Below are 21,205 nucleotides of genomic sequence, written 5' to 3'. Positions count from 1 at the left end.
AGATAAACTATTCACTGGCACTTATACACAGCTCCTGGTTTAAGAGCTGGTGCTCTAGCAATGAGCAAAAATAGGTATATTCTACCCTTCTTGGAGTAAATTTTCCAATAGAAGAAGAAATATTCAAAAGCTAGTGTAGGCCTGTCATAGTGGCTCACACTTGTAACCCCAGCACAGCACTCTTTTTTTTTTTTTTTTTTTTTTTTTGAGATGAATTCTCGCTCTGTTGCCCAGGCTGGAGTGCAGTGGCCTCCCAGGTTCAAGTGATTCTCCTGTCTCAGCCTCCCAAGTAGCTGGGATTACAGGCATGCACTACCATGCACAGCTAATTTTTGTATTTGTTTAGTAGAGACGGGGTTTCCCTATGTATGCCAGGCAGGTCTCAAACTATTGACCTCAAATGATCTACCCACCTTGGCCTCCCAAAGTGCTGGGATTACAGGTGTGAGCCACCGTGCCTGGCCCTGTAATCCAGCACTTTGGCAGGCCAAGGTAGAAAGATCACTGGAGACCAGAAGTCTGAGACCAACCTGTAAGACCTGTAAGAGTAAGACCCCTTTTCTTAAAAAAAAAAAAAAAAAAAAAAAAATTACATAATTAGCTGGGTTCTAGCTACACAGCAGGTTAAGGTGACAAAATCGTTTGAGCCTAGGAGTTCAAGTCTGCAATGGCAAGATTCTGTCTCCAAAAAAAAAAAAAAAGCTAGTTTATTATAAAGACAGTACATGTTTAAAAAGTTCATGTTCAATAAGAACTTATTAAAAAAAATCTTTTAAAAAATATATTGAATCTGAGAACTAAAGGATGTAAATCGTGTTATGAAGTGAATTGTTTCCCCCAGAATTCATTTCTTTGAAGCCTATAACCCCCAATATCACTAGAGAGTTGGAGAAAGGGCCTTAAAAAGGAAATTAAAGTTAAATGAGGTTATGATAGGGTCCTAATCCAATAGGACTGTTGTTCTTGTAAGAAGAGAAACAGATACCAGACAGCTCTCCCTCTTCACCCATGAACATTGGCAGAAGAGAGGCCATGTGAAAACAAAGCAAGAAGGTGGCCATCTGCAGGTCAGGAAGAGTAGCCGCACCAAAAATCAACACTGATAAGACCTTGATTCTGATCTTCTAGCCTCTGGATCTGTGAGAAATTAAATATCTGTTGTTTAAGACACTGAGTTTGTTATATTTTTGTTATGGCGCCCAAGTAGACCAAGACAAGTGGGGAAAATGAGGTTCTATACACAGGAGAGTTTTGGAGAGGGCTTTCCAGAGAGTTGATGAACTATGTAAATATTCAGAGCTGACAGAATCTTTAAGTAGAACTGAAAGAATTCAAACCTAAGAGAGAGTTTGAAAAATGCACCTGGAGAAACAGAGACCAGATCAAGAAAGGATGTTCAGATTATTCACTATTGGTTAGTAGACTTACTTTGTCATGCCTGTACGTAGTATGCAAGAACTTGCTTTTACATGAATCAGATTCCTTTTCATTATACAAACTACTTAATGTATTTTTGTTATTGATCATAATTAATAGTGTTGAAATCAATTTATTTTTAAAGTGTATGTGATTTTTAGATTTATAAGTTTTTTTCTCCAAAATCTGCAGCAAAACTTTCTTCAATTACTTATTCCAAATAAAATATAAATTTGGAAAAATCATATTCATGTATTCACATAGTTACAAGCTTTATAAGGAGATCTGTGACTTCTTACTCTTGTTCCTAAGAATAATAATATTCTTTATTCAGTGTAAAGATGATAAAAATCAATACATTATTCAGTATTTTCAAAAGGAAAACAAAATAGATTATCTAACCAAAACACCCTCTTTTGTTTCTTAATTTACATGTTTTTTAAAAAAATATAATTCATAATACTGGCTTTTTTAAAAGCCTAAATAAATAAGGAGAAATGCAATTGAAATTGGGAATACATTTAAAAAGTGAAAAATAATAAATAATTTTAATTTATAAAGATATGTAGAATAGGGCACATACATTTTCACAACCACTTAATCCAGAGAAGAATCAAAGAAGACCACTTTTATAATACTTTTCCAGATCAGGAACTGCTGTAAAAGTAAGTTATTCTGAGAGAACTCTGGGAAGATGATGGAGTAGGAAGCACCAGGAAGCTGTCTCCCCACATACACAACAATCGCACTGAAAGTCTGTCTGGAATTTTGAATTATATTACAGGCTTATAACTTCCAATAAAAGTTTAGACTTGGTAAATTGCATTTAATTTCAGTCCATTTTGGATCTTAGCATAGAGCAGCCATTCCTCATGCCTCAGTGTCAGATGACTGTGCACATATTCCTAGAACAGCTTGCCTAAATCTTGCAGAATCAGAGTGGGCAATAAGGGCTCTGTCTTCCAAATACCTAGGTCTGTGTTCTACTTGCTTATTGCTGCTTCTGATAACAGGTGCAGACACAGTGTTGGGCATTGTTGCAAGTCCCTTTCTTTCTGGCTAAATCAACTTCCAGGAGATCTAAGGAGCTGAAAGTCTTTTCCCCCTTAATTTTTCTTTCCCCAACCCTTTTGGAATCCTGATATTAATTAATCCTGATATTAATTAATTAATATCAAATCTTTAAAGACTAAAATATAGTATTCAAATTTTAAAGACTAAAATATTAAAAAATAAAGAACATAATAAGCAAACAAAACATTCCCCCAAAACTCCTGCATATATGGGGAAAAATAGAAAGTCACTGTGCATGCCCCGGGAAAAGCATAGAAGACATGAGAATATCTTAAGGCTACACCTCAAGCTGATGTGGAGCTTAAAGACAGTCTATAATCATCAAAAACAAAACTAAACTAAATAAATCCCAAAAGTAATAAACCCTAAGGAGAGGGTGATAGTCGAGTTACTATATTATTATATTCAACTTCATGATGGAAAACAGGGAATAAAGGAAATAAAAAAAAAACTAAACTAATAATTAAGGAAAGGACTCTATTGATAAAAGAGGGGTCTTGTAAATTATGAGCCAGTTAAGAAAATATTTATCTTCTATGAATTTACATTACACAGTCCTGGTAGCAGTCCAATGCTTCTGTGTGCGTGTGTGCGTGCATGCATGTGTGTGTGTGTTTTATTCGTAACGTCTTTGCCTCCTAAATATATTTGGTGTGTCAGATTCCATCACTGAAGATTTTGGGGATGTTATCAAAACTGAATGCGGCTAATTTAGGGAAATATGCTAATTAAATGTATTTGAGTACCGAGTATATGAAGATTTTATTTATTAAGAACTTGGATACTGGGGCAAACAGTATTAAAACTGGTAGTGAAAAATTAAAGTGACTGAACAGAATAAATAGAGTTTGGGAAAGAGCAGAAATTCAGGATAAGGAAGCCGGGTTAGCAGCATTCATAATCTGGCAATTGTAACCTATCAAAAGTAACTGATGGGTTTTTTTCTAGACTTGGAAAATGCTGTATTTAGCCACAGCTATAAAATTTCTGCTCCTGTGTAGCATTAAAAAATTGCCTCCAATACCTCAGTTAAGTTTGATATAGCTGTCTGTTAGTATTGTGGAGAATAAAGACAAAGAAGGCAAGGAAAGTCTAGCTTATTTTACATGAAGCTCATTAACTTGCAGTAAAGGAACAGTAACTAATGAGGAAATGGTGTCTAGAAGTTTCAAGAAGAGCATTAATGAAGCCAAAGGCAGAAAAAAATGTCTAGAACAGGGAAATATAAAATTGAGAAGCAACATCTAAATGGACCATTCAAAATAAATATGATATGGTGGCTCATTTTTAAGTATGTACTAGAAGAAACTCACATTAGAAAATTTAAAGTAGGTGTGAAGGAGCAGACTATTTGGATTACAATAGCTGATACTATAATAGCTAATTATGGTCCTTAACTAGACACCTCTGTGTCCTACCTCAGATCATTGAGAACACCTTTTACATCAATCATTTTTTAGGATAACAGCTTGGGACAGCTGTAAACTGATTGGAGCTCCTCTCAAAATTACTTTATGTTTACTTTCTGTCCCAGGACCTTTCTGATGGAGACACTATGGGAACTAGTGCAAAGAACCATGCATGATCAAACCTGAAAGCGCAAGCTATTAATACATCACAGGGCAACTTTTGACCTAGAAAGGATGGGATTTTGTAGATTTCCTTCTATCCACCCCAGGAAACAATCTGTGCCACCTTCTACACAGGTCCTTGTGGGTTCTAGTGGAAATGAGCCCCCAGTTGCTCTTTTGATGGTTAGCTTAATAATTGTTTATTTCATTTACCCAGCTTCCTATTCTTCTTTCTTAAGATTACTTCCTTAAATAAACTACCTGTATATGTGATTGTGATATGTGATGTTGTTCATGTGTCAAACTGTTTTATTTTGCTTTTTTTGTGGGAAAGAATGTTGAAACTTAAATAAGAGGTATAATTTATGAAGCAATTACTATATCCTGGGACATACAAGCCTTGGGCTGCCATAATTGCTATATTCCTAGTTCAACTTAGAAGAACAAGCTTTTCACTTTATTTTGTAAATTCTTGTGTGCCCAAATGAAGTAGTTAGTTAGGACTTGTGAGGAAATATGAAATTACAACAGTACAATATATTGAACACTCTGACAGGAAAAGCAATAGAATAGCAATATCCTAAGTAGTTGTCAATTATATATAACTATATTATGAGATTATATACCCATACCTATACCTATATTTATAATCTCTTTTTAAAATCTATCTTTAAATTCCACTAGGAGGTTTTCACTAGTATCTCCCTGGGATGATCTGTTTGGCCTAATGTATAGTTCCAGAATTCCATATCCACCAACTTGTATGAACATACCATTATAATACAGGAACAGGTTGGTGTTGTAGGCTAGTACTTATTCAAGGAATAGTGGTGTCAGAGACATTCAAACCAGAGCAACTCCATCTTGAGTGAGGGCCAGGAAAATGAGGCTGGGGCTTGCTGGTTTCCCTCCCCAGAAAGTTGGCATTCCTAGCTTCTAGATGTTTAAGGTTAAGGGAACAAATGAGTAATGTTTACTAAACAGACTCAGACCTGGGTGTGTCCAGATATCCTAATATCTGGAGAACAAAGGCATTCCTAATTTTGCTTTAAAGATAATAACATTGATTGTTTCAAAATACAGTAATTAAGAAAATTAATCCTTCATCACAAACCCTTGTAGCAGAGCACATCTTCCATGATCTTTTTATCCTATATAAACAAGCATTGTACCTAGGGTGGACGCCATTCCTCCTCTTGCTTTCAGGAACATCCCACTCTATCTACGGAATAGCTGTACTTTCACTACTTTACTTTCTTAATAAACTTGCCTTTACTTTGCACTGCGGACTCACCCTGAATTCTTTCTTGCATGAGATCCAAGAATCCTCTCTTGGGGTCTGGGTAGGGACTCCTTTCCTGTAACAGTAGTTGTTGTAATACCTAGTTGTGGTAGTAGCTAGTATTATTCAAGGAATATTTCAGCTCTTAACTTGAGAAATAATACAGTTGATTTATACATTCTGGCCACTTGATAGGTGAGTGGGTGTGAGAAACACGTGATGTTAGTTCTGGTTGTCTGTCATCTCTAAGTCAAACATTTATTTTCTAGAATGACATCTTTAAGTTCTCTGTTTTACCCTGGTACATAACTGCCAACCCCAGTGTCTCTTTCATCAATCTTGGGTTGTAAATGACTAATGACTATGATAAGCAGGAACCTCCTAAAGATCTGAAAATCTGTGATAGACATGTAGATTCAACATGTATTGTTTAAAACTACTAAGATTCTAGGGTTGTCTATTAGCATAATACAAACCAGACTGATACACCTATGCAGTTGTTCCTTAGTGATAAACTATTTGCATTTTTCACATCATCTTTAATTATTAATATGTTTTTGTAATGAAAACTATGAGAATAATCAGATATTTATTTTCTGCTATAACTTATAGCTACCGATTGTCATTTAAGGTGTTTTTCTTCTCTGGTAGTGCTCTACTATGTTGTTGCTAATTCAATTCTCCAAATTAAGTATTTCATTGCAGCCAACTTATTTGATGGAAATCAGTTTCCTGCTTTATTCAAATGAAGAAACAGAAAGTTATAAAGAGGCATTTTTATATTTTCTAATAGATGAACCCCAAAAGAAGCATCAAAATATTTTCTGGAATTCAGCAATTTCAGTTATTCATGTGTTTATGTATGTTGTCAATTAATTGATACTGCTTACCAAAATGTAAATGTTTTCAATTCATCCCTTGTCATTTAGTAACAAATCCAATGAATGCTAATGCCCAATATTGAAATTATGAGTTAGGCTGACAAACAGATTCCTTCTCTCATTCTTTATTCAACTTCATTCATATGGCAATAATTATCCTCTAAGCCATATTTCTCTAATTTTTATTTAAATGTTGTTTCAATGGAAGGATACTTGCATTTGAAACATTTATGCATACTATTCAAATTAAGTCATTTCCAACCCAAGTGATCACATTCCTTTATAGCACCAATGACAAATCACACTTGGAAGGGAAATAACACAAAAAATGTCAGGAGTGAGTCAAGCATTTTATAAAATATTGAAAGGAGAATACCACTAATCTATTTATTTACTCTGAATTCAATAAAGAAATCAAATTGGAGTTACTTTAAGAAATAAATTTGAAGCCATCTGTAGTTTCATTCATAGTTTCCTACTTTTTACTCATAATCATCAATTAATTATATTTTAATTTATATGGAGAAAATTTTTTCTTAGAATAGAAAATTGTTGTATATGATCACCAATAAAAAGGCATTTAAAATGAAATTTCAATGAACGTAAACAATGTGCTTTGAATAAATCAGTAGAATAACCTGGCAAAAGAGAAAGAAAATCTTTGTATCCATAGATATCCAAACATAGTATATACAAATATTTGAAAGAAGGGTGAAAGTACATATGAAAACAAATAAGGGAACAACAGACATGGGAGACTCCTTGAAGGTGGGTGGAGGTAAGAGGGTGAGCATTGAAAAAGTACCTGTTGGGTACTATGCTTATTACCTGGGTGGCAAAATAATTTGGACACCAAATGCCTGTGATATGTAATTTATCTATATAACAAACCTGCACATATACCATTTTCATGCGCATCAGTGTGAAGAGACCACCAAACAGGCTTTGTGTGAGCAATAAAGCTTTTAATCACCTGGGTGCAGGCAGGCTGAGTCCAAAAAGAGTGTCAGCAAGGGAGATGGGGTGGGACCGTTTTACAAGATTTGGGCAGGTAAAGGAAAATTACAGTCAAAGGGGGGTTGTTCTCTGGCGGGCAGGAGTGGGGGTCACAAGGTGCTCAGTAGGGAGCTTTTGAGCCAGGATGAGCCAGGAGAAGGAATTTCATGAGACAATGTCATCAGTTAAGGCAGGAACAGGCCATTTTCACTTCTTTTGTGGTGGAATGTCATCAGTTAAGTCAGGAACCGGCCATCTGGATGTGTACGTGCAGGTCACAGGGGATATGATGGCTTAGCTTGGGCTCAGAGGCCTGACATTCCTGTCTTCTTATATTAATAAGAAAAATAAAATGAAATAGTGGTAAAGTGTTGGGACGGCGAAAATTTTGGGGGGTGGTATGGAGAGATAATGGGTGATGTTTCTCAGGGCTGCTTCAAGCGGGATTAGGGGCGGCATGGGAACCTAGAGTGGGAGAGATTAAGCTGAAGGAAGATTTTGTGGTAAGGGGTGATATTGTGGGGTTTTTAGAAGAAACATTTGTCATATAGAATTATTGGTGATGGCCTGGATACGGTTTTGTATGAATTGGAAAACTAAACGGAATAAGAGAAGGAGAAAAACAGGTATTAAAGGTCTAAGAATTGGGAAGACCCAGGACATCTAATTAGAGAGTGCTTAAGGAGATTCAGCATAGTCCTGCCAGCAAAGATTATTTATTTACTTTAAGAGTTAAGAGTGGCAGTTTGGGGATAGCACCAGGAGGTATCAGCTGTGATGGCTTGGAGAAACAGTGTAAACCGGCAGTGTAAACAAAAGCAGAGCATGTATGAGTAGTTGAGAATGGTGAATAGGAGTATGACTAGACAGAAGAAGTAGGGATGACAAGTTTTTTGGGGCACAGTCCAAGTTGGTCTGGTGTCTGGAATGAGACTGGGGCCTAATAAAAAGGAGCATCTAAACAGGAGCTCAAATGGACTGTACCCTGTAGCATTCCGAGGACAGGCCTGAATTCTGAGAAGGGAAAGTGATAAAAGTATTGTGTAGTCCTTTTTAAGTTGGTGGATGAACTTGGTGAGGTGTGTTTTTAAAAGACCATTAGTCTGTTCTATCTTTCCTGAAGACTGAGGACTGTTAGGGATATAAAGGTTTCACTGAATACCATGAGCCTGAAAAAATGCTTGGCTGATTTGACTAATAAAGGCTGATCTGTTATAGGACTGTATAGAGGTGGGAAGGCCAAACCGAGGAATTATGTCTGACAGAAGGGAAGAAATGACCGCGGTGGCCTTCTCAGACCTTGTAGGAAAGGCCTCTACCTATCCAGTGAAAGTGTTTACCTAGACTAAGAGATATTTTAGTTTTCTTACTTGGGGCATGTGAGTAGTCAATTTGCCAGTCCTGGGCAGGGACAAATCCCCGAGCTTGATGGGTAGGAAAGGGAGGGGGCCTGGACAATCCCTGAGGGGTAGTAGAATAGCAGATGGAACACTGAGAAGTGATCTCCATGAGGATAGTTTTCCAGGATGGAAAGGAAATGAGAGGTTCTAAGAGACGGGCTAGCAGCTTGTAACCTACGTGGAAGAGGTTATGAAATGACGACAGAATAGAATGGGCCTGTGAGGCTGGAAGGAGATATTTTCCTTGGTCTAAGAACCATTTGCCTTGTGTGGGACAAGATTGATAGGTGGAAGTTTCAGCGGGGGAGTAGGATGTGAAGGATCAGTGGGAGTGACCGATGTGAAGGAGAAAAACTGAAAGTGAGGGATATAAGTTGGACTGGTAGCTGCTTTTTTAGCTATCTTATCAGCATAAGCATTGTCCTGAGCGATGGCATCTGATGCCCTTTAATGGCCTTTGCAGTGAATGACTCTAGCTTCCTTTAGAAGTAAAGCAGCTTTGAGAAGCATTTTTATTAAAGAGGCATTACTGATAGAGGACCCTTGCGTAGTGAGGAAACCTCTTGCATGATGGTGCAGGATATGGAAGGCATATTTAGAGTCAGTATAAATATTGACGTTTAGTCCTTTTGCAAGAGTGAGGACTTGACTTAAGGCAATGAGTTCAGCTTGCTGAGAGGTAGTGGAGGGGGACAGAGCAGTAGCCTCAATGACAGATGCGGAAGATACTATAGCATAGCCTACCTTTGCTGGTGAGTGGCGATTAGGCCTGGTGGAACTGCCATCAATAAACCAAGTGTGTTCAGGGTGAGGAAGATGAAAGATGGAAATGTGGGGAAATGGGGTGAACGTCAGGTGGATCAGAGAGATGCAGTCATGAGGGTCAGGTGTGGTATCCGGAATAATGTGGGAGACTCAACAAAGAGTGAGTACAGCTGAAGGAGCCAGGAAGCAGAAAGTATATGTGTCAGGTGTGAGGAAGAAAATAGATTTTGGAAGTTATGAGAACTGTAGAGAGTGAGTTGAGCATAGTTTGTGATTTTAAGGGCCTCTAAAAGTATTAGGGCAGTGGCAGCCGCCACACGCAGACTTGAGGGCTAGGCAAAACAGTAAGGTCAAGTTGTTTGGATAAAAAGGCTACAGGGTGCGGTCCTGGTCCTAGTGTAAGAATTCTGACCACACTAACCATGCCTAGGAAGGAAAGGAGTTGTTGTTTTGTAAGGGATTGAGGTTTGGGAGATTAGTCAGACACGCTCAGCAGGGAGAGCACATGTGTTTTTATGAGAATTATGCCGAGATAGGTAACAGATGAGGATGAAATTTGGGCTTAACTGAAGTAATGGGGGCTGTCTGTGAAGCCTTGCAGCAGTACAGCCCAGGTAATTTGCTGAGCCTAATGAGTGTCAGGGTCAGTCCAAGTGAAAGCAAAGAGAGGCTGGGATGAAGGGTGCAAAGGAATAGTAAAGAAAGCATGTTTGAGATCCGAAACAGAATAATGGATTGTGGAGGGAGGTATTGAGGATAGGAGAGTATATGGGTTTGGCACCATGGGGTGGATAGGCAAAACAATTTTGTTGATAAGGCTCAGATCCTGAACTAACCTGTAAGGCTTTTCTGGTTCTAGGACAGGTAAAACGGGGGAATTGTAAGGAGAGTTTATAGGCTTTAAAAGGCCATGCTGTAACAGGTGACTGATAACAGGCTTTAATCTTTTTAAAGCGCACTGCGGGATGGGATATTGGCATTGAGCAGGGTAAGGGTGATTAGGTTTTAATGAGATGGTAAGGGTTGCATGATCAGTCGCCAAGGAGGGAGTAGAGGTGTCTTATACTTGTGGGTTAAGGTGGGGGGATAAAAGAGGAGGATGCAAAGGAGGCTTTGGATTGGGAAGAAGGGTGGCAATGAGATGTAGCTATAGTCCAGGAATAGTCAGGGAAGCAGATAAAGTGTCTCAGCCTAATAAGGGAACTGGGCAGGTGGGGATAACTAAAAAGGAGTGCATTAAAGAGTATTGTCTAAGTTGGCACCAGAGTTGGGGAGTTTTAAGAGGTTTATAAGCTTGGCTGTCAATACCCACAACAGTTATGGAGGCAAGGGAAACAGGCCCTTGAAAAGAAGGTAATGTGGAGTGGGTAGGCTTTGTATTGATTAAGAAGGGGACAGACTTACCCTTCACTGTGAGAGTTACCAAAAGCTCGGCATCCGTGATGGTCTAAGGGGCTTCTGAGGCGATCGGGCAGTGTCAGTCTTCAGCTGCTAAGCCGAGAAGATCTGGGAAGGAGTCAGTCAGAGAGCCTTGGGCCAGAGTTCCAGGGGCTCTGGGAGTGGCTGCCAGGTAAGTTGAACAGTCCGATTTCCAGTGGGGTCCCACACAGATGGGACACAGCTTAGGAGGAATCCTGGGCTGCAGGCATTCCTTGGCCTGGTGGCCAGATTTCTGGCACTTGTAGCAAGTTCCTGGGGGAGGCAGTTCTGGAGGAACACCTGGCCACTGCGGTTTAGGTGTTTGGAAGTTCTTGTGTGCTGGAGATGTGGCTGGGGTTTGTCTCACAGTGGAAGCAAGGAAGGCATTGCAACTCAGAAATATGTTGCTACTTGGCTGCCTCTACTCTATTATTGTACACCTTGAAGGTGAGGTTAATTAAGTCCTGTTGTGGGGTTTGAGGCTGGAATTTAATTTTTGGAGTTTTATTTAATGTCGGGAGCAGATTGGGTAATAAAATGTATATTGAGAATAAGACGGCCTTTTGACCTTTTAGGGTCTAGAGCTGTAAAGTGTCTCAGGGTTGCTGCCAAATGAGCCATGAACTGGACTGGATTTTTATGTTTGATGAAAAAGAGCCTAAACACTATCTGATTTGAGATAAAGAAAAAGGAGCATTAACCTTGACTATGCCTTTAGCTCCAGCCACCTTTTTAAGAGTAAATTGCTGGGCAGGTGGGGGAGGGCTAGTCACGGAATGAAACTGTAAGCCTGACTGGGTGTGAGGAGGGGAGGTGATAAAAGGATTATAGGGTGGAGGAGTGGAGCCTGAGGAAGAATTGAGACCTATCTCAGCCTGGTGAGGAGGGGAGAGGTCAGATGGGTCTGTAGAAAAGGAAGATTAGAAAGACTTAGTGACACTTGGGGTTGGGACTGAGGGGACAGGTGGGAGGGAAAGAAGGAAGATTTGGGAGGAGTTGCATTGGGAACAGAGACTAGGGAGGGACCGATGTGTAAAAGAATGCCTGGACATCAGGCACCTCAGACCGTTTGGCTATTTTATGACAAGAATTATTTAGATCTTGTAGGATGGAAAAATTGAAAGTGCCATTTTCTGGCTATTTGGAACTACTGTTGAGTTTGTATTGGGGTCAAGTGGCATCGCAGAAGAAAATAAGATGCTTAGATTTTAGGTCAGGTGAGAGTTGAAGAGGTTTTAAGTTCTTAAGAACACAGGCTAAGGGAGAAGAAGGAGGAATGGAAGGTGGAAGCTTGCCCATAGCGAAGGAGGCAAGCCCAGAGAAAAGAGAGTAGAGACACGGAGAAGAGGTGGGGGGTTCTTGCCCTCCAGAAAAGCAGAGAAGGGGTCGCGGTGTGGAAATAAGGGGTTGTAGCACAGAATTAAGAGGTCGGGGTGCAGAAATAAGGGATTGGGGTGCAGAGATAAGAGGTCGGGGTTCCTGCCCCTCCCCCAGAAAAGTGGGACTTGCCGCTAAGGGTGAAGGAGAAGGGGTTGAGGTGTTCTTGCCCCTCCCCTAGAAAAGCGGAGAAGGGGTAGAGACACAGAGAGAAGGGGTTGGGGTTCTTGCCTCTCCCCAAGAAAAGCAGGACTTGCTGCTAAGGGTGAAGGACCAAGGCAGGCATCCCTGTGTGGTCTGACACCCCTGAAACATGGGTGAATAATCAGAGAGGTGTCCCTGCAATGATTAAACACCAAGAGAAGGCTGCCTTTCCAGTCCATGACCGGCGCCAGAGTTTTGGGTCCACGGGTAAAACGTGTCTCCTTTGTTTCTACCAGAAAATGAAAGGAATTGAAATGAAGAGAAGGGAGAGATTGAAGTGTGGCACCAAGACTGAAAGGAGAAAGAGGTTGAGGGATAGTGAGGGAGGTTGGAGAAGAGAGTAAAAAGAGGCCGCTTACCGGATTTGAAATTGGTGAGACGTTTCTTGGGCTGGTTGGTCTGAGGACCTGAGGTTGTAAGTGGATCTTTCTCATGGAGCAAAGAGCAGGAGGACAGGGGATTGATCTCCCAAGGGAGGTCCCCCGATCCAAGTCACAGCACCAAATTTCATGCATGTCCATGTGAAGAGACCACCAAACAGGCTTTGTGTGAGCAATAAAGCTTTTAATCACCTGGGTGCAGGCGGGCTGAGTCCAAAAAGAGAGTCAGCGAAGGGAGATAGAGGTGGGACCGTTTTACAGGACTTGGGCAGGTAAAGGAAAATTACAGTCAAAGGGGGGCTGTTCTCTGGCGGGCAGGAGTGGGTGTCACAAGGTGCTCAGTAGGGAGCTTTTGAGCCAGGATGAGCCAGGAGAAGGAATTTCACAAGACAATGTCATCAGTTAAGGCAGGAACAGGCCATTTTCACTTCTTTTGTGGTGGAATGTCATCAGTTAAGTCAGGAACTGGCCATCTGAGTGTGTACGTGCAGGTCACAGGGGATATGATGGCTTAGCTTGGGCTCAGAGGCCTGACACCATTGAATGCAAAATAAAAGTTTAAAAAATTGTATAGCTAGGTACTATTATACCAGTTTTACAGATGAAGAAATTAAACTTGTTTGGGGCAACAGAGCTAGCATTGAAACCAGCATTTCAAACCAGATAGACAGACTCTAAAGCCCAAAAGAGAAAGAAAATCTTCAAGAATAAATATATTAATAGAGATTTCAATACAGTATATACAAAGATTAACAAGAAGAGTGAGAGTACATATGGGCACAAATAAGGGAAAAACAGAAAAGGGAGACTACTTAAAGTCAGAGGGAGGCTGCTCCCAATATTTTATTATTACAATCAATGCTGTGATGAACATCTAAGTGTAAATAGCTTTCCATCCTGCTTAAGTATTTGCTTAAGCAATTCCTAAATACAGAATGATTGAGTCAAGAAATATGCAAGATTTTATGGCTTTTTCTACATATCGTTAAATTACTCTTCTGGGTTACTGCACCAGAAAGCCATCAGCAAAGAATGAGAGCATATCTGTTTTATTTTGTCTTCAAAAAGTTTGGCGTTATTTAAATAAAAATTTGTTTAGTTTGTAGGGCAAAAAAAGAGAGAATAAAATAATCGTATTCATAATTATAGAAAATATGTCAAATAATATACCTATATTAAGAAACTATCTACTACACATTCTGATAAAGTTTCTTGCATAGTAAATAAATATGGAGCTTAGAAAAAGAAAATGTTGAGATTATTTTTCTCTAAAAATGATTTGTTACCTTTTCTGCATTAAGTTCCAAAGCAATTGATATTTACAAAATGTTTCAAGAATATATTCCTGGAATTTTTTTTCAGCATTCTATAACAATATGACACCAGCATCCTCATTCTTTTACTTTCTATGATTTTCAAAATGAAACTTGTAATGTAATGTTAACTAATTTCCTGATGGTAGCCATCAATAAAAATTAGCATTAGGTCTCTGGGAAGCTGATGCTACTTATTTTGGAAATCAGTGTAAAGGTATTTGGGGAATTTCTAATATAAATTGAAGGTGTCTTTTCTATACATCTTATTTGAGCCACAAAATGAGTCAAAATTTAAATCAAGGGTAAATAATACAGTAGAACAAAGTATACAACACTCATTAAAATTTAAAGTTTAAAAATTATTCAGAGGAATGTATTATTTGGTATCTGAAAGAATAGCTTTATTTTCACAATTTTAAGTGCCAAAAAGTAAGAAAATAGAAGTCTACATTTTATTTTATCATAAAATAATATTCTATTCTTCAAACTTGCTATATGTGTTATGTAATTCCCTTATGTCAACTATTAAAGGGCTGTCTAAACAGATAACATGTGTGACAGAGATTGGGTGATTTCTCACAACCCCACTTTTTCATCATGGGTATCTGGAAACAGTACTTCAAAAAATTGCAGTCCTCTTGTGGTTTGTTACTTGCTATATGATTTGGCCAAAGGACTGTGGGTAGAAGAGATTTACATACATCGACTTGGCTGTAATACATTCTTTACTCTCTGTCATAGGCTATCATTGCCAACTGTATTCAGCGGATCCAATGAAGAATTCTGCATCCAGCCCTAGAGATGTTGGAGACACAAGCTGCAGGTAGCTTGGATCCCTGGATCCTTCTCGTACGAGAGCATCGCTTTAAACCTACTTTATCCCTACTATTATGAAAGGGAGAAATAAGCTTTTATTATTTTAATCCACTAAGATATTTTGGCTGTTCTTGACAGCAGCCAGAAATTAATTATTTTGACTAATAAAATATAAAGCCATATTAGAAAGCTTTTATGGTTACGTCAGAATGTTCAAAATAAAAATGCCAGATATTTAATAATGTTATTGGGCTTAATCTATTCTGATTGATCACTGATAGGAAAATCTGTATTATTTTACATGAGCTTTGTTTCTTAGATTTCACATGCTTAAAGCAGTACCTAAAAGCATTAAAATATACATTTTAGACAGTTGTAAAGCAGGTTGCAAATTATACATAATATAAATAGAAGTAGAAAATATAATTATTATACCCTTAATATTTTGACTTAAGTATACTACATTCTTGGCATGCACTTGCCTGTATAAAATGAAGCTTAATAACACAAGAATGTAACCATCATTAATACAATTCAGAAACCCATACAGAGTGATTAAAGTAACTCAAATTGCCCTTGATCATATTTCTGACCACTTATCAGAACTGTCTTTATACCGTCATTAGCTGAGCTTCTCTTTTGTAGTTTCCTATGTCCTTGTCAAGTAATTGCTTCATAACCAGATCAATGAGAATCTACTAAAAAGAATTAAGATCAAACTCAGCCCAAATACCCTTTTCAATGTAGAACTGTCCTCTTTGACATTAGTATAGAACAATTAATATACATTTATGTTCACCACTGTCCCTAAATTCCCTCTATTGGGGAAAAGAATTGCAAAGATTCAGGATTTTTTGCACAATTCAACATAGCCTTCAGAGGAAGATATATGCTATTATGACATCTGAAACTCTACTAGTTCAATGAATTTCTCAGAAAGATGGTAAGTTTTTTGTGGTTGATATGCCTGAAAAAAATGTTCTCCACAATAGGAAAGAAATAATTAAACCTAGCAGTGTTTCCTTCTGCAAGCTATCAAAGTGAAAGGCTAGAAATTGCAGAACAGTGATTATGTGCTGCCCAAACATCTATTGAAATGGTATTCAGAATTAGTACTGTAGCCAATATATTTAATTCCAAATTTCAATGTAACAATTATTGGCTGAGAACATAATGAGAGCAGATAGACCATAGAGGTTGTGCTATCACTGTGCTAAACATGTTTATAGTCTATTAAGTATAGTCCATTATAGTCCACAAACAAGGGAAATATAAGTAAAATGTGTAAATATTATGAAAGATGTTCAAATCTGTATTGTGCCAATCAAAGAATGTCAATAACTCACAGAAAATATTCTTTTGGGTGTTTTAAAATTTAGTTGCTCCTGAATTTCTCTAGTTAAAAATAATTGTGTATATGTGTGTATATTTTTAATTTTGAAATTTTCTTTTATTATTATATAAGAGTGACTTGTTCTTACTTTGAAAAGTTTTGGATACACAGAAAATGTAAGGATAAAATTACAAGTACATATAATCTCATTACCCAGAAGCAATTACAACTAATATTTTGGTGTTTTAATAGCCAATAATTTCTGATAACATTTTTAAAAAGTTGGTACATATAAAATTTTATATCTCTATGTTTACCATTTCACATTATAGCAGCACAACTTCTAAGTATTTACAAGTGTTACTCAAATGCTCACCTTTTATTTTATGTTCTCTTTTATTGTTGAACCTCAATAGGTTATTTACAATATTTCACTTTATATGTAACATTGGTAAGAGCACCTTTGTCAAGATACTGAGATATTTCCTCAACCATCCTACATATTATGTCTTCAGGAATTGAAATTACTGGTTCAAAAAGAAAAAAAGAAAACAACACATTTTAGAAATTCTTGCTACATACTTCCAAGTAATTTTCCTAAGTACCAATTCCCACTGTCAAAATATATTCATCTCACTATATCTCCGTATTTATGTATGCTAAATTTGATCTATTTCTACATTATTGTTATTTTGAACTGTATTCCTCTGTTCAGGGTTTGGATAAATAGTTTCACCCCTTTCTATAATTTAATTTTTATGACTTGATGAAAACAAGCTGTTGTTTTCATGTTTTACCTTCTGAGTTATTTAGGTTTTTTTTTAATACTTTCTTATAGGCTCACTTTGGACACATTGTGTGCATTAGGTAAGTCTACTAGTAAAACAACAATCAAATTTTCCACATTAGAGGACAAAGTTGTGGCAAGACATCTATAATCCATTCACACTGGCTAAGTCAAAGCATGGAATGGTTCAGGAAGCTGCCAAATATATTGTGCTTTGAAAAAGTCAAATAATTGATTGGCCAACAAATTTTCAAAATTTTTCTCGAAAACATGGTTTATGCCACTGTATATGCAGTTTAAAAAATGTTAAAAGTTTTTCTAAAGTACCAAGATTTTATTTGAAACAAAATAACCATTTAATACTCCTTCATCAAGTTCATGAAAGCTGTATTTAACTTAAGAGTGGAGAGCAACATAGCAAACTAGATGATCTCCTAGAAATCTATAACTTTCCACTATCACTTGAGGATGTTTATCAGGATTATAATTGAATAACAGATTTCATTATAGTTTACACATCTTAGATTATGATTATTGCTGTCAAAGTTTCTGAGATTTACTATTTCTCTTTTAAAATATGACATAGTAAAAGTTTCAGTAAAACAGTTTATCTCCTTTAATAATTGTAAAATGTAAAAATAGTTTTGACAATAAAATATTTGTATTATTCTACTTTTAAGAGTATTTTAGTAAATTTATTAACTTGAAAACTCAAGACATTATTTACATCTATTTTCTTTTTGGTCATACAGATATTTTTAAAAATGCTATAAAGTTGATATTAGTATTATTTATACAAAAAGATCTATAGTTTTGGGTGTAGTAGATAGGATGATAATTAGGCTCATGGGCTCAGATTATTTTACTTATGTTGAAATTGAGGTATAATCTCATATGGAATCTATGATATTGAGAAGGCTATTTAACCTTATTACATATAAGCCTTCTCATTTATAAAATGAAGACTAAGGTAATAGCAACTTGAATTGTGTGGGATAGATGAGATAATATATGTAAAGCATTTAGCCCAATACCTGACAATAAGGTGATTGACAATTATTAAAGGTTACTAAAGAAGTAGTACTAGGAATAATATGGTTGGTATTTTATGGAAGATAATTTATTTTAAGGTACATAAGTGTCATTTTTTTTTTGAAAAAGTAATATTTTATGACAAAACAAAATGCCATCTTTAATCCACATATTAAAAGAATTAGATAAAAACTTTCAATTAACATCATTACAAGAATGAATGTCTAAATATAGTAAATATAAAACCCTATTATGTAAAGTTGGGAATAGATGACTCATATCTTATGCTTAGTCTTTCCTCGATTCCATATAATGTTCTCAGAAGAGCTTCTTTTTCTGTCATAATTTTGTTTTGTTTTCATATTTGGTGGTGGTTGTGGGCCTTAAAAATCTTATCTATTCCAAAACATTATCCTTTATGCTGCTTGTATATTTTGGAGCATTTGGTTAATCCAAACACAACTTTATCCGTTTATAACTGATGTAGTAATAGTTACTGTTAATTACATATCATAAACTTGACAGTATTCACAACTTGCAGTATCAACACAATTTTTTTTTTGCATCATTGCTTTGCCTTTCATATGTTAGCAGAAGATCACACTTTGAGATTGGAAAACATAAGTAAAACTACATAAAATTTCTCCATACGAGTTTTGAACCAAATAAAAGATTTAGAGAGATGATGAGTAAAATATCAGCAATATTACTAAGAAAGAAATTTGGAGAATGTAATGTAGAAGTGGCAAAATAGACTCGTAAATATAAGCAACCTCCCAAATACCTTGAACATACTTTTTCCAGAGAAGCCTGCCTACCCTTTAGAAGTTAAATACTACCCCACTAAGCCTACCCATAATGAGAAGCATGTTATTGGATGCATCCTTGCTGTAGGCACAAGCATACCAAAGCAAGAAATTCCTGTAGGCAGAAAGAGACAAAAGTAGCTGGGCTGCCCACTCACTTTCTAGAAACTGAGAAAGGCTGAAAAAGCCCAGGTAGCATATGCTTGGGACATGCTTCTTAAGAGGAGGAGAAGGACTTGGTATTTTCCCTACTTTCTTATAGCTACCATATGAGGTCATTAACCTTGTTACCAAGATTATAGTACTAGAAGCATTATTTTTGTTCCCTTTTTAGTGGGTTTGTACAAGATGTGATGTAACTACATATATACATACAATACTAGCTTAAAAACAGAAAAAAAATCACAAAGAAATGTTATAAATTGAACTAGATGAAAATTAATAAATTCTTATAATTAGCCCAATCCATGAGCAGCATGGAAAAAACAAAGCTGTGTCCACTCTTTCTCAACTGTAAAACACTTTCATGTGAGTAATCCCCATGACCTAAAAAGAAACAGGATGATTTTAGTTATATTTGTATATATTTTACTTATATATTAAGTATATATTTCACATACATATTACACAACTTAAATTGTGAATGGCTTCTAATCATGTCTGCATTGAAATTTATGCTTCCTAACCTGACATTGGAGCCATAAGATTGGACTGTTTCAACTCACTATGTTTTTATCCAAATATATTCTCTGCACCTTTTCACTTTACCTGGTAATCTCTGTTCCCTGTCGTTTGCTTGGATTGAGTCATCTTGATTTTCAGATGGCGAGTAAAATGTCACTTTCTCTGAGAAGCCAACTTTCACAGCCCAATCTAAAGCAGATCCCTAGTGACATAATCTCTTAATTAACCAGTGTTTTAAAATATTTGATTTTCCTAGTAAACTTAAGTCCATGAGGGTTTTGTTTAGCTCTGATTGCCTAGTGTCTATAGTACATGAAAAGCAGTAACCACTCCAAAACCAACTTTTTGAATAAATGAGTGAGTGAATGAATGAATTAATGTGCTCAATCTTCTTCCAGCTGTAAGCAACATAACTATGCCATTATCATTTATTTACTTGGATTACTAAAATATACCTTATAAAAAATCTCTGCATCTAATTTTGCCTTATACTAATCCATTATTCATATCCTCTTCACTACAAAGAATGATCTTGTAAAGTATAAATCTGATCACAATCACATCTCTTCCTTAAAGCCCTCCCATTATTTTCTGTTGTACTAATAAAAGATAAAAATACTCATTATTATATGCAAAGGTATACATGGCAGTTTCCAGGTCAAACCATATTTCCTTGTATGTTTTCCTCCATCACTAGGTTAGAGTCACACAAAAAATATTTTATTATTTTTTCCTTAATTGAAAAATACAAAATCAAACATATTTATGGTGTACATGAAGTTTTGATACATGTATACATTGTGAAATGGTCAAATCCAGCTAATTAACATATCCATCACCTCACATGCTTATTTTTTGTGATGAGATTATTTAAAATCTACTCAGCAATTTTTACATTTACATTATCATTATTATAGTCACCATGCTGTACAATAGATTTCCAGAATTTATTTCTCTTGTCTAATTGAAACTTTGTGCCCTTTAGCCAACATCTCTCCACTTACCAACCCCGTCTCACTGCCGCCTTGAGTACAACCACCAATGTACTTTCTGGTTCTATGATTTCCATTATCTTTAGATTCCACATATAAGAGATCATGCAGTATTTGTATTCCTATGCCTAGCTTATCTCCTTAACATAATATCCTCCAGACTCATCCATGTTGTTGGAAATAAGATTTCCTTCTTTTTAAAATCTCAGTAGTATTCTATTGTGTATATATAGCACATTATTTTTTGTTTATTCATTTGTTGATGAGCATTTAGGTTGTTCCATATCTTGTTTATTGTGAATAATGCTGAAATGAACGTGAGAGTGCAGCTATCTCCTCAACATACTGATTTCATTTACTTTGAATATATACACAGTAGTGGGATTGCTGCATTATATGGTAATTTTCTGAGGAACCTCCATACTGATTTCTATAGTGGCTGTACTACTTTACACTCCCACTGACAGTGTACATAGGATCTCTCCACATCTGTGCCAACACTTATCTTCTGTCAGCTATTATTATGAATGTGAAATTATATCACCTTGTGATTTTAATATGCATTTCCCTGATGACTGATGATATTGAGCACCTCTTCATATACCTGTTGGCCTTTTGTATGTTTTCTTTTGGGAAATGTCTATTCAGGTCCTTCGCCCTTGTTTTCCTGAGAT

General features: G+C 36.6%; 1 protein-coding gene across 7 annotated transcripts in view, besides 3 other annotated features; it reads left to right on the top strand.

Moving 5' to 3' along the window:
* The window catches only part of PABPC4L (poly(A) binding protein cytoplasmic 4 like), a 253,443-nt gene that overhangs the window by 176,389 nt on the left and 55,849 nt on the right, over positions 1 to 21,205 (top strand). For 2 of the 7 annotated variants that reach the window (XR_007096357.1, XR_001741134.2), the window contains 2 exons: positions 14,823 to 14,904; positions 17,069 to 17,097. The gene's annotated coding sequence lies outside the window, so the exon portion shown is untranslated. Of the gene's footprint in view, positions 1 to 14,822; positions 17,690 to 21,205 lie in introns of those variants that run through there. The other 5 variants (XR_001741133.2, XR_001741139.2, XR_001741135.2 and 2 more) reach the window with 3 other exon arrangements.
* Positions 10,469 to 10,969: an enhancer, noted in NCBI's record as "H3K27ac hESC enhancer chr4:134935699-134936199 (GRCh37/hg19 assembly coordinates)". NCBI's record gives its function as "activates a minimal SCP1, AML or CMV promoter by ChIP-STARR-seq in naive H9 embryonic stem cells {active_cell/tissue: H9 hESC(naive)}" and the evidence as "EXISTENCE:reporter gene assay evidence [ECO:0000049][PMID:30033119]".
* Positions 10,970 to 11,470: an enhancer, noted in NCBI's record as "H3K27ac hESC enhancer chr4:134935198-134935698 (GRCh37/hg19 assembly coordinates)". NCBI's record gives its function as "activates a minimal SCP1, AML or CMV promoter by ChIP-STARR-seq in naive H9 embryonic stem cells {active_cell/tissue: H9 hESC(naive)}" and the evidence as "EXISTENCE:reporter gene assay evidence [ECO:0000049][PMID:30033119]".
* Positions 12,903 to 13,433: an enhancer, noted in NCBI's record as "NANOG hESC enhancer chr4:134933235-134933765 (GRCh37/hg19 assembly coordinates)". NCBI's record gives its function as "activates a minimal SCP1, AML or CMV promoter by ChIP-STARR-seq in primed H9 embryonic stem cells {active_cell/tissue: H9 hESC(primed)}" and the evidence as "EXISTENCE:reporter gene assay evidence [ECO:0000049][PMID:30033119]".

The sequence above is a fragment of the Homo sapiens genome, chromosome 4 (assembly GCF_000001405.40).
Source record: "Homo sapiens chromosome 4, GRCh38.p14 Primary Assembly".
Taxonomy (NCBI): Eukaryota; Metazoa; Chordata; class Mammalia; order Primates; family Hominidae; genus Homo; species Homo sapiens.
This window is presented reverse-complemented; position numbering and strand designations above follow the sequence as displayed.